A 13222-nucleotide genomic window follows, 5' to 3' on the forward strand; every position below is an offset into this window, starting at 1 on the left:
TCCCTCTATTATCTTACATCTTCGTAGCACCTTAAATCCCTTAAATCCTGCTATGCTCCTACCCTCCCTGATGACGGACATCTTCATCCCATTCCACAGGATTGCCTAGCAGCTATAGAAATGGCTTCAAAGCCACAAGAGGGTCTCTCAGACACTCCTTTAGACAACATGTTAGCAGTGGCAGAGATCCGAGTTATCCCGAGTTAGCCGTGGCATATCTGTATGGGTCCATAGCAACTTCAGTCCTTGCCTCCTCAGAAGAAAGAATTTGACTGAGGGGCATAAAGCAGAAAAAGAGACCAAGGCAAGTTTCACAGCAGGAATGGAAGTTTACTAAACAGGCTTTAGAACAGGAAAGAAAGGAAAGAACCCTTGGAAGAGATCCTAGTGGGCGCCTGAAAGTCAAAGAGAGAAAAGGAGAGCAAAAAATGCATTTAACATTGATCTTTGGACTCTATAGGCTTGTGTCTCTCCCATGATTCTTCCCGTAGGGCGAGCTTCCTGCATGCTCAGTGCTCTCTGTACCCTTTGGAATTGAACAGCTCGTTGTGTTTAGGAGGTTATACACATGCCCATCTGAGGCTTTCTTCCTTTTCTCGTGGAGTGTACCCAGAAGATACTTTGCCATTTTTGTCTCTTAATGTGCATGCCCAGGAAGTTTCTTCTCACTGGGGCCTACACTCAATTAATATTTTGATTTCAGCAGGTGTAGACTATGAAGAAATGGCCTCTCCCTGGCTGCCAAATTATCACTGTTAGAGAGGAAGTGTGATAATCATTGAACAATCACCTGACATTTCTAGTGGGTGGGGGGAGAGCCCTCTCCTGCCCCACTCGTTGCCTTATCTAACTACCTGTAACAAACCCAGATTTCTATTTTATGATGGCTCTCATAAATGAAATTTTAAGGGGAACAGCATAAATGGCTATGCCATAGTTTCCCTGCATGCAGCCCTAGAGACATACCCTTTGCCTTGAATCTGGCCAATCTGCTGAATTTAAAGCTTTTACTAGAGCTTGCACACTGACAAAAAATAAAAACTGCCATTATTTATACTGACTCCAGATACACTTTCAGAGTCTGTCATGCTGCCAGCAAAATCTAGGAAGCCTGTAGATTCTTAACCTCCACTGGCACTCCTATTGCCAATGAATGTGTAATTGCTGCCTGTAATAAACATGCTATTCATCTTCCTATTAAATTGCTATTGCTCATTTTCTGGCCCACACTAAGGAGACTAATACTATATCTTCAGGGAATGATAGGGAACACAAGGCTGCCAAGTACACAGCCCAAAATGAACCCCTGTATTCATTTTCCACACAATTTATTAAGTTGCCTTTATCCCTGACTAATATTATTAATAAGCATATGCTCCAAAGATAGACCTTCCATGGCCCATTTCTTTTAACCTGTTGGTTTGCAGAGGGGCGTCAGTTAAGGAACTAAACAATAATTGTTTTTTCTCTAAGATTTACAAAATTTCTGACCAAATTATTTCCCAATGCATTACTTGCAAATCTCACCAAAGCTCTGGAGGAAAGCACCCTTCTTCAGGAAGGCCCACACTTTCCCTTGCAGCAGTCCAAGTGGATTCCATAGGTTGACCTCCAGCTTTAGGCTATTCTCAGTTTGGCTATTGTCTATGTTTAGTGAATGGACTGAATGCTGTCCCACTTCCTGTTCTGATGCCACAGTGTGGTGCAAACATTCATAACAGATTCTTCATTGCTTTGGCTTCCTTTTATGGATTGTCAGATCAAGGAAATCTTTTTTTTTTTTTTTTTTTTTTTAATGAGATGGAGCCTCGCTGTGTCTCCCAGGCTGGAGTGTAGCAGTGCCATCTCGGCTCACTGCAATCTCTGCCTCCTAGGTTCAAGTGATTCTCCTGCCTCAGCCTCCCAAGTAGAAGGGGTTAAAGGTGCCTGCCACCACACCTGGCTAATTTTTGTATTTTTAGTAGAGATGGGGTTTCGCCCTGTTGGCCAGGCTGGTCTTGAACTCCTGGCCTCAGGTGATCTGCCTGTCTTGGCCTCCCAAAGTGCTGGGATTACAGGTGTGAGCCACCACGCCCAGCCAGGAACTCATTTTACAGCATAAACGACTTGCCTGCAACCACTCTAGGGTACTCCAAATTTCATAACCCATACCATTCCCGATCCCCAGGGCAAGTGGAGCATAAAAATTTAAACATTAAATGGAATTTGAGAAAAGTCTGTCTAGACACCAGAATTAAAGGGCCAGAAGCATTACCTCTGGCCCTTATAGAAATTTAGAATACTCGGAATAAAAGACATGGATTACCCCTTTTGAAATAGTGTTTGGGTGGCATCTCTAAATCTTCCATTCCTGGGTTGAATGAGCACTATGGGGACCTGTGAACAATTTGATGCTATGACTAGCTATATACGGGCACTAATATATTTGGAGCTTATCATCAACAGATAAAAAGGGTGTGATCTCCACCAACTGACAAGACTTGCCATGCTTTTTGACCAGGAGATGATGTGTACACAAAGGTTTTTAAAAGAAGGCAAGCACTGTCACCTCACTGGAAGGTCCATGTGAAGTACTGCTGACTACTTACACTACCATCAAAGTAAAATAAAACAACTCCTCGTTCATGCAAGTCACACCAAGCCAGATCCTGCTAAGCACTCTCAAGAGAATTGGAAAATCACCCCTACAGGTGACCTTTAGATGGTATTTCTTCAAAGTAGACACTTTTCCCAAGATCACAGATCAAGAAAGTTTACTTCCACCTATGTTGTCCCTGTTTTAGGACTCTGTATTACTCTACCTTTAAAAACTTTTTTTTTTTTTCTTAAAAAACCTCTTCTTTTTTTGGTTGACAATTTTTTTTCCTGTCTGTTGATGGCCTGTTAAAAAGCTGACTAGGGACTTTCTCAGTCTATTCTATTCTCTCTCTAACCCTCCACTATAAATGCTTTTTTTCAAATTGTATCTTGCTCTAATTAACACTTACCAACAGGTTGGACACAGACCTGGCACCGTTTTACATTAGCCTTTCAAACCCTCACTATGATAATTAATCAATCTGATCACTGGTTAAGCAACATCTAGGTTATTCAAAAGAACGTGAACGTGTTTCTGCCATTATAATTGTCTGGTAGATAAAGTCCAGAAAATAGACGTATGACAAGAGAAAACAGTGTCATGCTATTGTCCTTTAGGTAAATCAATTAGACACAGAGAAATCTTTATGAGAGCTCCAGGACTGTCTCTGCTCTGATAAAGTCATTAAAATATTTTTTCCTTCTACATTAAAGCAGAAATTATGCTGGACTTTTTCTTAGGTAACACACCAATGAGGTATTGCAATCAAACCCTGTGCTTTGATTCCATCATTGACATTCACAAATGTCACAAATCTCACAAAGGTCAAAAACAGTCCTGATCTGACTCTCATGATATAAACATTTGCCAAATCACCAGATCTTACAAAGGGCTCCCAAGTCAGAAGAAGCTTCCTTCCTTCCTTTATGAGGCCAGCAGATGCCAAAGATCACATGTGGATAGATTAGAATTCTGGACTAACTTGGCCAGGTTACAAAATTAAGTCCTATAACTGCCAAAACAAAACTAAAGGCCTTCTCTATCAGATTTAGCAACCCGTTCTGTTCCTATGGACTGAGAGAGACGCGTGGAGGATAAAGATGCACAGATGCCGCTATGACGGAAGACAAGGCACAGCAACAAACCCCAACTTGGGAATCACAAGTTCCACTCTGACCTTGTTTATAAACAATTCTGGTCCTTTTATCTTTGGTGATAAGGTGTATAAAAGAGCCCCACCTAGATGACTGGAGCAATGTGGATGCAGATACCTAACACCTCTGTCATCTGGTACTCTAAATGCTAGAGCAGTCACTGCACTCCAGCCTGGGCAACACAGTGAGATCCCCATTTCTTTAAAAAAAAAAAAGGTAAGAAAAAGAAAAGATGTAGAACATCTCCTTCCCCACAGGGATCCCTCACACTGCCCTTTTTGGCCAAACCCACTTCTCTCCTGTTCCTCCTCTCCTTAACCCGTGGCCCACTAATCTGTTTTTTATTTCTAAAATTTTGTCACTTCAAGAGTACTATTTAAATTGAATCACACCATATATAACATTTTAGGACTAGATTTTTTTTTTTTTTTGAGATGGAGTCTCATTCTGTCACCCAGGCTGGAGTGCAATGGTGCAATCTCAGCTCGCTGCAACCTCCACCTCCTCCTGGGTTCAAGAGATTCTCCTGCCTCAGCCTCCTAAGTAGCTGGGATTACAGGCACATGCCACCGTGCCCGGCTAATTTTTTATTTATTTATTTATTTATTTTATTTTATTTTTTTAGTATTTATTGATCATTCTTGGGTGTTTCTCGGAGAGGGGGATTTGGCAGGGTCATAGGACAATAGTGGAGGGAAGGTCAGCAGATAAACATGTGAACAAGGGTCTCTGGTTTTCCTAGGCAGAGGACCCTGCGGCCTTCCGCAGTGTTTGTGTCCCTGGGTACTTGAGATTAGGGAGTGGTGATGACTCTTAAGGAGCTTGCTGCCTTCAAGCATCTGTTTAACAAAGCACATCTTGCACCGCCCTTAATCCATTTAACCCTGAGTGGACACAGCACATGTTTCAGAGAGCACGGGGTTGGGGGTAAGGTTACAGATTAACAGCATCCCAAGGCAGAAGAATTTTTCTTAGCTCAGAACAAAATGGAGTCTCCTATGTCTACTTCTTTCTACACAGACACTGTAACAATCTGATCTCTCTTTCTTTTCCCATTTCCCCCTTTTTCTATTTGACAAAACCGCCAACGTCATCATGGCCCGTTCTCAATGAGCTGTTGGGCACACCTCCCAGACGGGGTGGCGGCCGGGCAGAGGGGCTCCTCACTTCTCAGACGGGGCGGCCGGTTAGAGACGCTCCTCGCTTCCTAGACGGGATGGCGGCCGGGAAGAGGCTCTCCTCACATCCCAGACGATGGGCGGCCCGGCAGAGGCGCTCCCCACATCTCAGACGACGGGTGGCCGGGCAGAGACGCTCCTCACTTCCCAGATGGGATGGCGGCCAGGAAGAGGCACTCCTCACTTCCCAGACTGGGCGGCCGGGCAGAGGGGCTCCTCACATCCCAGACGATGGGCGGCCAGGCAGAGACGCTCCTCACTTCCCAGACGGGGTGGCGGCCGGGCAGAGGCTGCAGTCTCGGCACTTTGGGAGGCCAAGGCAGGCGGCTGGGAGGTGGAGGTTGTAGGGAGCCGAGATCACGCCACTGCACTCCAGCCTGGGCACCATTGAGCACTGAGTGAGGGAGACTCCGTCTGCAATCCCGGCACCTCGGGAGGCCGAGGCTGGCGGATCACTCGCGGTCAGGAGCTGGAGACCAGTCCGGCCAACACGGCGAAACCCCGTCTCCACCAAAAAATACAAAAACCAGTCAGGCGTGGCGGCGCGCGCCTGCAATCCCAGGCACTCGGCAGGCTGAGGCAGGAGAATCAGGCAGGGAGGTTGCAGTGAGCCGAGATGGCGGCAGCACAGTCCAGCCTCGGCTCGGCATCAGAGGGAGACCGTGCAAAGAGGGAGACGGGAGAGGGGGAGGGGGAGGGGGAAGGCTTTTTTTTTTTTTTTTTTTTTTGGTGTCTTTAGTAGAGACGGGGTTTCACAGTGTTAGCCAGGATGGTCTCTGTCTCCTGACCTCGTGATCCACCTGCCTCGGCCTCCTAAAGTGCTGGGATTACAGGCGTGAGCCACCGTGCCCAGCCTAGGATTAGATTTTTAAACTCTGCATACTCTGTGAAAATTTGTCCAAGGTGTATATATCAGGAGTTCATTCCTCTGTTATTGAGTACTATTCTATGGGATGGATGTGCCACAGTGTGTTTAACCAGACACCTGTCAAAGGACGTTTGGGTTGTTTCTAGACTGGGGCTATTACAAATAAAGCTGCTATGAACATTTGTGTACAGGTTTTTGTGTGAATGTAAGTTTTTGTTTCTCTGAAATAAATAAGTGCCCAGGAGCACGATTGCTAGTTATCAGCTTTTTTTATTTTAGTCATTCTAATAGGTGTGTGGGATATCTCTTTGTGTTAATTTTCATTTCCCTGCTGGCAAACAAAGTTCAATATTTTTGAATGTGGCTCTTGGCTATTTGTGTGTGTATATATATACATATATATACATTCACCATTCAGAACCTTCATCTACTTTTTAATGGAATTTTTGTCTTTTTATTATTGAGTTGTAAGAGTTCTTTCTGTATTCTAGATACAAATCCCTCATCAGATACGTGCTTTTCTCCATTTTATGGGTTATCATTTCACTTTTCTTGATGATCTCATTGAAGCAAAAAAGTTTTTAATTTTGATGAAGTATATTTTTTCTTCTCTGCCATCTGTGTTTTAAGGCAAGGTCCAATTTATTTTTTTCTTCTGTTGCTGATACTTTTGGCATTACACCTAAGAAACCTCCGCCTAATCCAAGATCATGGACATTTACTCCTGTGTTTTCTTCTAAGAGTTTAGTGGTTTTAACTCTTACGTTTTATGTCTTTTATACATTTTGAGTTAGTTTTTGTATATGGAGTGAAGTAGGGGTCCACCTTCATTCTTTTGCTTGTGGATATCCAGTTGTTCCAGCACCATTTGCTGAAAACACTATTCTTTTTTTTTTTTTTTTTTGAGACGGAGTCTCGCTCTGTCGCCCAGGCTGGAGTGCAGTGGCACGATCTCTGCTCACTGCAAGCTCCACCTCCCAGGTTCACGCCATTCTCCTGCCTCAGCCTCCTGAGTAGCTGGGACTACAGGCACCCGCCACCATGCCTGGCTAATTTTTTGTATTTTTAGTCGAGATGGGGTTTCACCGTGTTAGCCATGATGGTCTCGATCTCCTGACCTTGTGATCTGCCCACCTTGGCCTCCCAAAGTGCTGGGATTACAGGCATGAGCCACCACACCTGGCCTAAGACTATTCTTTCTCCATTGGATTGTTCTTGCATCTGATATGGTCTGGCTGTGTCCCCATCCAAATCGCATCTTGAATTGTAGCTCCTGTAATCTGCACGTGTTGTGGGAGGGACCCAGTGGGAGATGATTGAATCATGGGGTGGTTTCCCCCATACTGTTCTCATGGTAGTGAATAAGTGTCACGAGAGCTGATGGTTTTATAAAGCAAAGGCCCTCTCGCTTGGCTGTCATTCTCTCTTTTGCCTGCCACCAATGTAATATGTGCCTTTCTGCTTCCGCCATGATCCACGTGAAACTCTGAGTCAATTAAACCTCTTTTTCTTTATAATTTACCCAGTCTTGGGTATGTCTTTATCAGCAGTGTGAAAACAGATTAATACAGCATCCTTGTCAAAAATCAATTGACTGTGAATATGGCGAGTTGTTTCTGGACTCTTAATTATATTCTGTTGTTGTGATGTCTACACTTTTGCTAATACCACTTTTACTGTATTGATTACTGTAGCTTTGTACTAAGTTTTGAAAGTAGGAAATGTGAGCTCTCTACTTTTGTCCTTCTTTTTCAAGATCTAAATCATTTGGGCCATTCTGGGTCCTTTGCATGTCCACTTGAATTTTAGGGTCAGGTCGTGAATTTCTCCAAAATTGCCATTTCCCATTGGGGTTTGCTAGGGATTGCATTCCTCTGTAGATAAATTTGAGAAATATAGCATTCTTAATATTAGGTTTTCCAATCCATAACCATGGATTCCTTTCTATCTATTTAGGAGTTTTTAAATTTCTTTCAACAGTGTTTTGTAGTTTTCAGTGTACAAATCTTGCAGTTTTTAATTGAATTTACTCCTATGTTTTTCTTTTTGATGTTATGTACATGAAATTGTTTTTCTTAATTGTACTTTTGGATTGTTTACTACTAATATTTAGCCAGCAATCACTTTTAATAGGCCTTTGATGAAAATCATTTGCTTTTTTTTTTTTTCTGACAGGGTCTCACTGCCACCCAGGCTGGAGTGCAGTGGTATAGTCACAGCTTACTGCAGCCTTGACTTCTTGGGTTCAAGCAGTCCTCCCACCTCAGCTCCCAGAATAGATGGGAATATAGGCATGTGCCATGATGCTCAGCTAATTTTTTAATTTTTTGTAGAGATGGGGGTCTCACTATATTGCCCAAGCTGGTCTCAAACTCCTGGCCTCAAGCAATCCTCCTGCCTCGGCCTCTCAAAGTTCTGGGATTACAGGCTTGAACCACTACACCTTGCCAACATTTGGTGCAATTGCAAATTTAATTAAGGAGATATCTTCCAACATTCTAAACTGCCTTTATAAGTTTAATATACTCATTTTCCTTTTTAATTATGTCAGTGATCTGACAATAAATTGGTTTTCAGTCTCTTAAATGAGCCTTTGTATCAGTAAGTTAAATTTGAAATATGATGAACTTTATATTCTCTTAAATGTTCCAACAGTTTGTTAACTTAGATTTCAACCTGAAACCACAAGTCTAAAGTAACTATGCAATTACACACCAGAGTCTAGGTCCCAAATCTCTAATGTATTATCTGCAGAAAATTCCAAATGTGCAGACTTCTTAACACTGAGACATTAACACCTAAATTTTCCTGAACCCATGCAAATCCTTCTGAGATTGGCATGTGTGTGCCTACCGGGAAGGGCAGTTGCTATCCCAGTTGCCTGCAGAACTTGTTGGCAGTTTCACTCACCTAAGGAATAATCTAAAAGTCTTAATCAGTAATTGTAGCTGGTTCAAGCAAATGGACTTACACAAAATAGTATTTACATAAATGCAAGCCCAAGTTTCTCATTACGTTTTTTAAAAAGCCTTTATTTTGATGTTTCATATCAATTTCACCTTTAATGCCTCCCAATACCTTTAAAATTATTTTTATCATAGTTAAATGTATACAGAAAGGTAATGTGATGATTTTTTTCACTAAGTCCGTACTTTATTCCATTGTGCAAAAAAAAAAAATTATTATTTTCTATGCATTCCATGATGTGTAAAAAGATTGGGTAGTAAAATATAAGAAGGTTCTACTGTGCCAGGCTCTTGGTCCACATTTCCTTATTTAATTCTCACAACAGAAGGCAAAAAGGTGAGTGAATGGCCCAGGACAAGTCTCTGACTCCTAACCAGCTGGCTCTCAAGAGATACTTGCCAAAGGAAGAAATGGCCTATGTATACCATTCACACTTTAGTATGAATTTATTCCTACAGTATTATTTCCACTCTGCATCTGAAATGAAAGACAAGTGTTTCATGTAAGCTGCACCAGTAAGAGATGCCTAAGAGGCTGGCTGGTTTTTGCTGTGCAAGTGGTTCGACGTGGGGCTGCAGAATACTCTGGCCTAATTCAGAGCTGAGAACACAGACACCGTGGGCCCAGGAGTCCACCTGCCTTGAGTGTTGTGACTGCACTTGGGCAGGAGTGGAGCCAAAAAATAAAAACAGAAGCAGCCTTGGCACATAGTAGAACCTTCTTATATTTTATTTACTTCCCAACCTTTTACATGTCATGAAATGCATAGAATACAATACAATTTTTTTTTTTTTTTTTTTTTTTTTTTTTTTTTTTTTGGCAGAGAGTGGTTCCCCAAGGTGGATGCTATTCGGGGAAATCTTGCTGATCTTGCCCTCTTCCCAAATGCATGGGAAATATTACCCATTTGTCACACAAGCTGTCTGAGGACGCAGTAGCCTGTGAGGTCAGGGGAAGAGCCCTGGCTCCTCTGAACCTTCCTCTTGGTAGCACAGGCCATGGCACTTCGGCATGTCAGATCTAAGCCAGAATGCAACCTCCTCAGTCACCCACCCTGTGAGCTGTGGGCTGGCAGCCTGACCTCTCTGAGCCCAGGCGGGTGAGGAACCCTGCCCAGGTCCGTGGGGGGGTGGAAGGACCAGATGTCACGTGCCTGGCACATCCTGAGTCCCACTTCATGTCCTTTCCCTCACCCTCCGTGTTCCCTCAGCTGAGCTGGGCCCAAATCTTCATCCCAGGGAAATGGGACCCAGTGACCAACTGGGCTGTGCTACTGCAGGCACCTTTGAAATGAGCCCAGGGGAAGCAGTAAGAAAGCAGCAGGCTATGCTTGGAGAAGCGCCCGTCCTGTCCACCATCGCTCCACCTTTCTCCATCACTCCTTACCTGACCTACCCCAACACAGGTGGCCAGAGGCAGGAGGGCTCCCCAACAGCTCCTACAGGTGTTCCCTGCAGCTTCCAGCCAATTCTCACAGAGCGACAGCTGTTCTTCTGGCCTTTGCTTGGGGTCTGAGCCCAAGCACATGTATCCACATGTGCGAGTTCAGGCTGAGCTCCCACGGTGGGCAGCACCTTTTGTGTGTGTGCCTGTGCATGTGTGCACACATATGTGTGAACTGTGCAGGCTGTAATTTCCAAAACCAAATTTGGCTTTTTTTGATTTGTAAGTTATTTACATCAACGAATTTTAAAGAAGCATAAAATGAAATTAAGTTAAAGTTTTAGTGGATCACCTCTGAAAAAGAAAAACTTTCATTCTGTGAAATTGGATTTCTAGAAAATTCCAGGATTCCCCACAGTTAAAGGCACAAGGCAGGGACAAATTCTGGCCATGTCACATGCAGGGGGCATGGGTAGTAAGAGTGGGAAATGGGGTTCGGGGCTCAGTTCCCCAGCACCTTGCTCTTCCTTTTTCTGACTCTCCTGGTTTGTCTTTTCTGGTGTCTGTGAGCCCCTCAAGGGCAGAGGCCATTTCTCATTCATCCTAGCATCCAGTACCCAGGGCCCAGCCTGTCATGAGGAGGTGCCCAGCAATCTGAGCGTATTTAAGACTGGGTCCTGATTCTGTCTTTTGTCCCCTCCTTGGGTTCCCAAACTCTCTGTATTCTGCTCCTTCACATTTAAATTGACCCCCAAACAGGATCTCCCAGCCTCCTTGGAGATGTGGGCTCCATGCAGGGATGACAGAGGCTGGGGTCTGGAGCCTTCCCCCAGTGCCACCGAGCTGGAGCCTGCTGAGTTTGCAAGTCATCACGGAGAATCCTCGGCTCCTTCGGAGATACCACCCCTGGGCCTACTCTGGGTTCTGAGATGGCAGCCCTAGTGCCAACCTCATCCAGAAGTCATCACTCCCTGGGGGACTGTGAGGGTGTCATCGAATATCTGCCAATCTGCTGACAAGTAGACATCCCAATGGCCATGGAGAAAACATCCGTGCAAGGGCTTTGATCCTCCGAGGCTCCATGAGAACACTGCTATTATAATAGTTACTAAGCCTAATAAAAAGTATAATGATAGAATATATATCACGATGTTGACCCAAAATGGCAATGTTTAGTTCTTAGGGAATTCAAAGTACACAAAGTCCTTGAGAAGGACACAGCTCTCAAAGAGACTCAGGTCACCTCCCTGCAGTCGTCACCCTCCCCGGTAGCCAGTGCAGGCACAAGGATCTGCCACTCCCTGCTTAAACCCTACCCCCTTCCAGAGCTCCCCATTCCCTGTGGGAAGTCACAGGAACACCCAATCCTTGTGAGCCAGACCTTGGCCCAGACTCTCGCCAGTCACCAGCCAGCTGGCTGCTGCTGTTCCGGTGCCCTTCCTCATGCTGTTCCCAGCGGACTCTCCCCACAGGCTGCCCTTCATCCTCCAGAGCTCCACCAGGGTGATCGTAGACCAGAAGGGTCCAGGTGCTTGACCAGCAATCATTCTAGTAACTTTTGGGAGGTCACACTTTCTAGGAGGCCTCTAGTAAGTCCCTCCCCTCCACTTCCAGCTGGGGCCGGTGACCCCTCACCCTAAGACGTGAGGCCTCTAGATCTGTCTTATTCTGCTCCCAGCCTTCCAGGTTCTGGAGAGCAGGAGGCCCTGGCCCAGGAACAGGCACCCAGCAGATGCTCAGCAGCCATGTGTGCAACAGAACTAAATCTTCCAGCTTTGGCTGAAAGCAAACATCATGGCTGTCTCAGCAGGCACGTGCTCCCAGGGTTGTGTCCTTCCTGGAAGATCTCAGCTTCTCCCACATCTGTGTCTCCTGAATCCACACCAAAGGAGCCTCGTTCAGAAGGGACCCCAGGACAGGGCACGGACACCTGTAATCCCAGCACTTTGAGTGGCCAAGGCAGGCAGATGGTTGAGCCCAGGAGTTTGAGACTAGCCTGGGCAACATGGCCAAATCTGTCTCCACAAAAAACGAAAAATTAGCAAGGTGGGTGGTGCACACCTGTAGTCCCAACTACTTGGGAGGCTGAGGTGGGAGGATCGCTTGAGCCTCACAGGCCAAGGCTGCAGTGAGCTATGATCTAGCCACTGCACACCAGCCGCTGCAACAGAGTGAGACCCTGTCTGAAAAAATAAATAAATAAAAAATAAAAGGAAGGAGCCCTGGGTTTGATTCGGGCCTCACGATGTGCCCTCTCACTGCACGAAAGTGGCCCAGGGGCACACTCTGCCCCTCTCTAGGAGGTGGTAGTGACCTGGGAGGGCCTTGGAGCGGATCTTTGTGTCCCTCAGTACATGGAGAAGTAAACTGAGGCACAGAGAGACGGGCATGTGTCCCAGATGGTGGGAGCCAGTGCTCGCTGGGGCAGCCCCTCCTTGGACCCAGCGGCAGAATTTCAGCAGCAGGTGGGGCCAAATAATCGGGTCCAGGGTGAGAGAAACACCTGTGTAAATTTGTCTTATAGGGCCCTGGAGAGGAAGGGTAGGAGCTGGGGCAGGTCAAGGTGCCCCTGGAAGCTTCTAGAGACCTGGATACACACCAGACAGCAGCGGCTGATGAAGGAAACAGGTGGGCTTTTAACAAAGTGTGGACAGTCACGATTCTTTCCCTGTAGCCCTGGGACCCCAATGTCCTTAGCCACGGTCCCTCAGCTGCCCCGGGAGCCGCCAGCATGAGCCGGTGTCCCGTTTTAGCGCAGGCGTGCCCTGGGACACTGCGGGCGCCCAGTGACCCGACTGAGCAAAAAGGGGCTTCAAGTGGAAGCCCCTCTTCCAGGCACCTCCGTGTCACTCCTGCGCCTGCATAGGGTGCCTTCCCGGTAAGATCCTGAGAGTTTGCACGGGCCGGTCCGGGCTCCCGGCTCTGCCCACCTGATGTCACTCGAGGACTGCCCCTCCCGGCCTTCGCGCGGAGCGCGGGCGCCACCCAGTGGTGCATTCGAGTAACCGAACCCAGCTCTCAGCCAGATCCCCGCCTCCAGCGGGCTCCCCAGTTATTTTCTCTTAAAAAGGGCCTTAACTCTATGTTGAATAGG

The 13222-nt window shown here is 45.9% G+C and overlaps 1 non-coding gene across 1 annotated transcript, besides 1 other annotated feature; it reads right to left on the reverse strand.

Moving 5' to 3' along the window:
- Positions 4841 to 5341: an enhancer, noted in NCBI's record as "H3K27ac hESC enhancer chr2:110821474-110821974 (GRCh37/hg19 assembly coordinates)". NCBI's record gives its function as "activates a minimal SCP1, AML or CMV promoter by ChIP-STARR-seq in primed H9 embryonic stem cells {active_cell/tissue: H9 hESC(primed)}" and the evidence as "EXISTENCE:reporter gene assay evidence [ECO:0000049][PMID:30033119]".
- Positions 10905 to 10986, reverse strand: MIR4267 (microRNA 4267). Its single transcript, NR_036225.1, has one exon. It is a non-coding gene; the product is annotated as a microRNA 4267 (primary transcript).
- Between the last annotated feature and the right edge of the window lie 2236 nt (positions 10987 to 13222).

Source organism: Homo sapiens, chromosome 2, assembly GCF_000001405.40.
Source record: "Homo sapiens chromosome 2, GRCh38.p14 Primary Assembly".
NCBI classification, from domain to species: domain Eukaryota; kingdom Metazoa; phylum Chordata; class Mammalia; order Primates; family Hominidae; genus Homo; species Homo sapiens.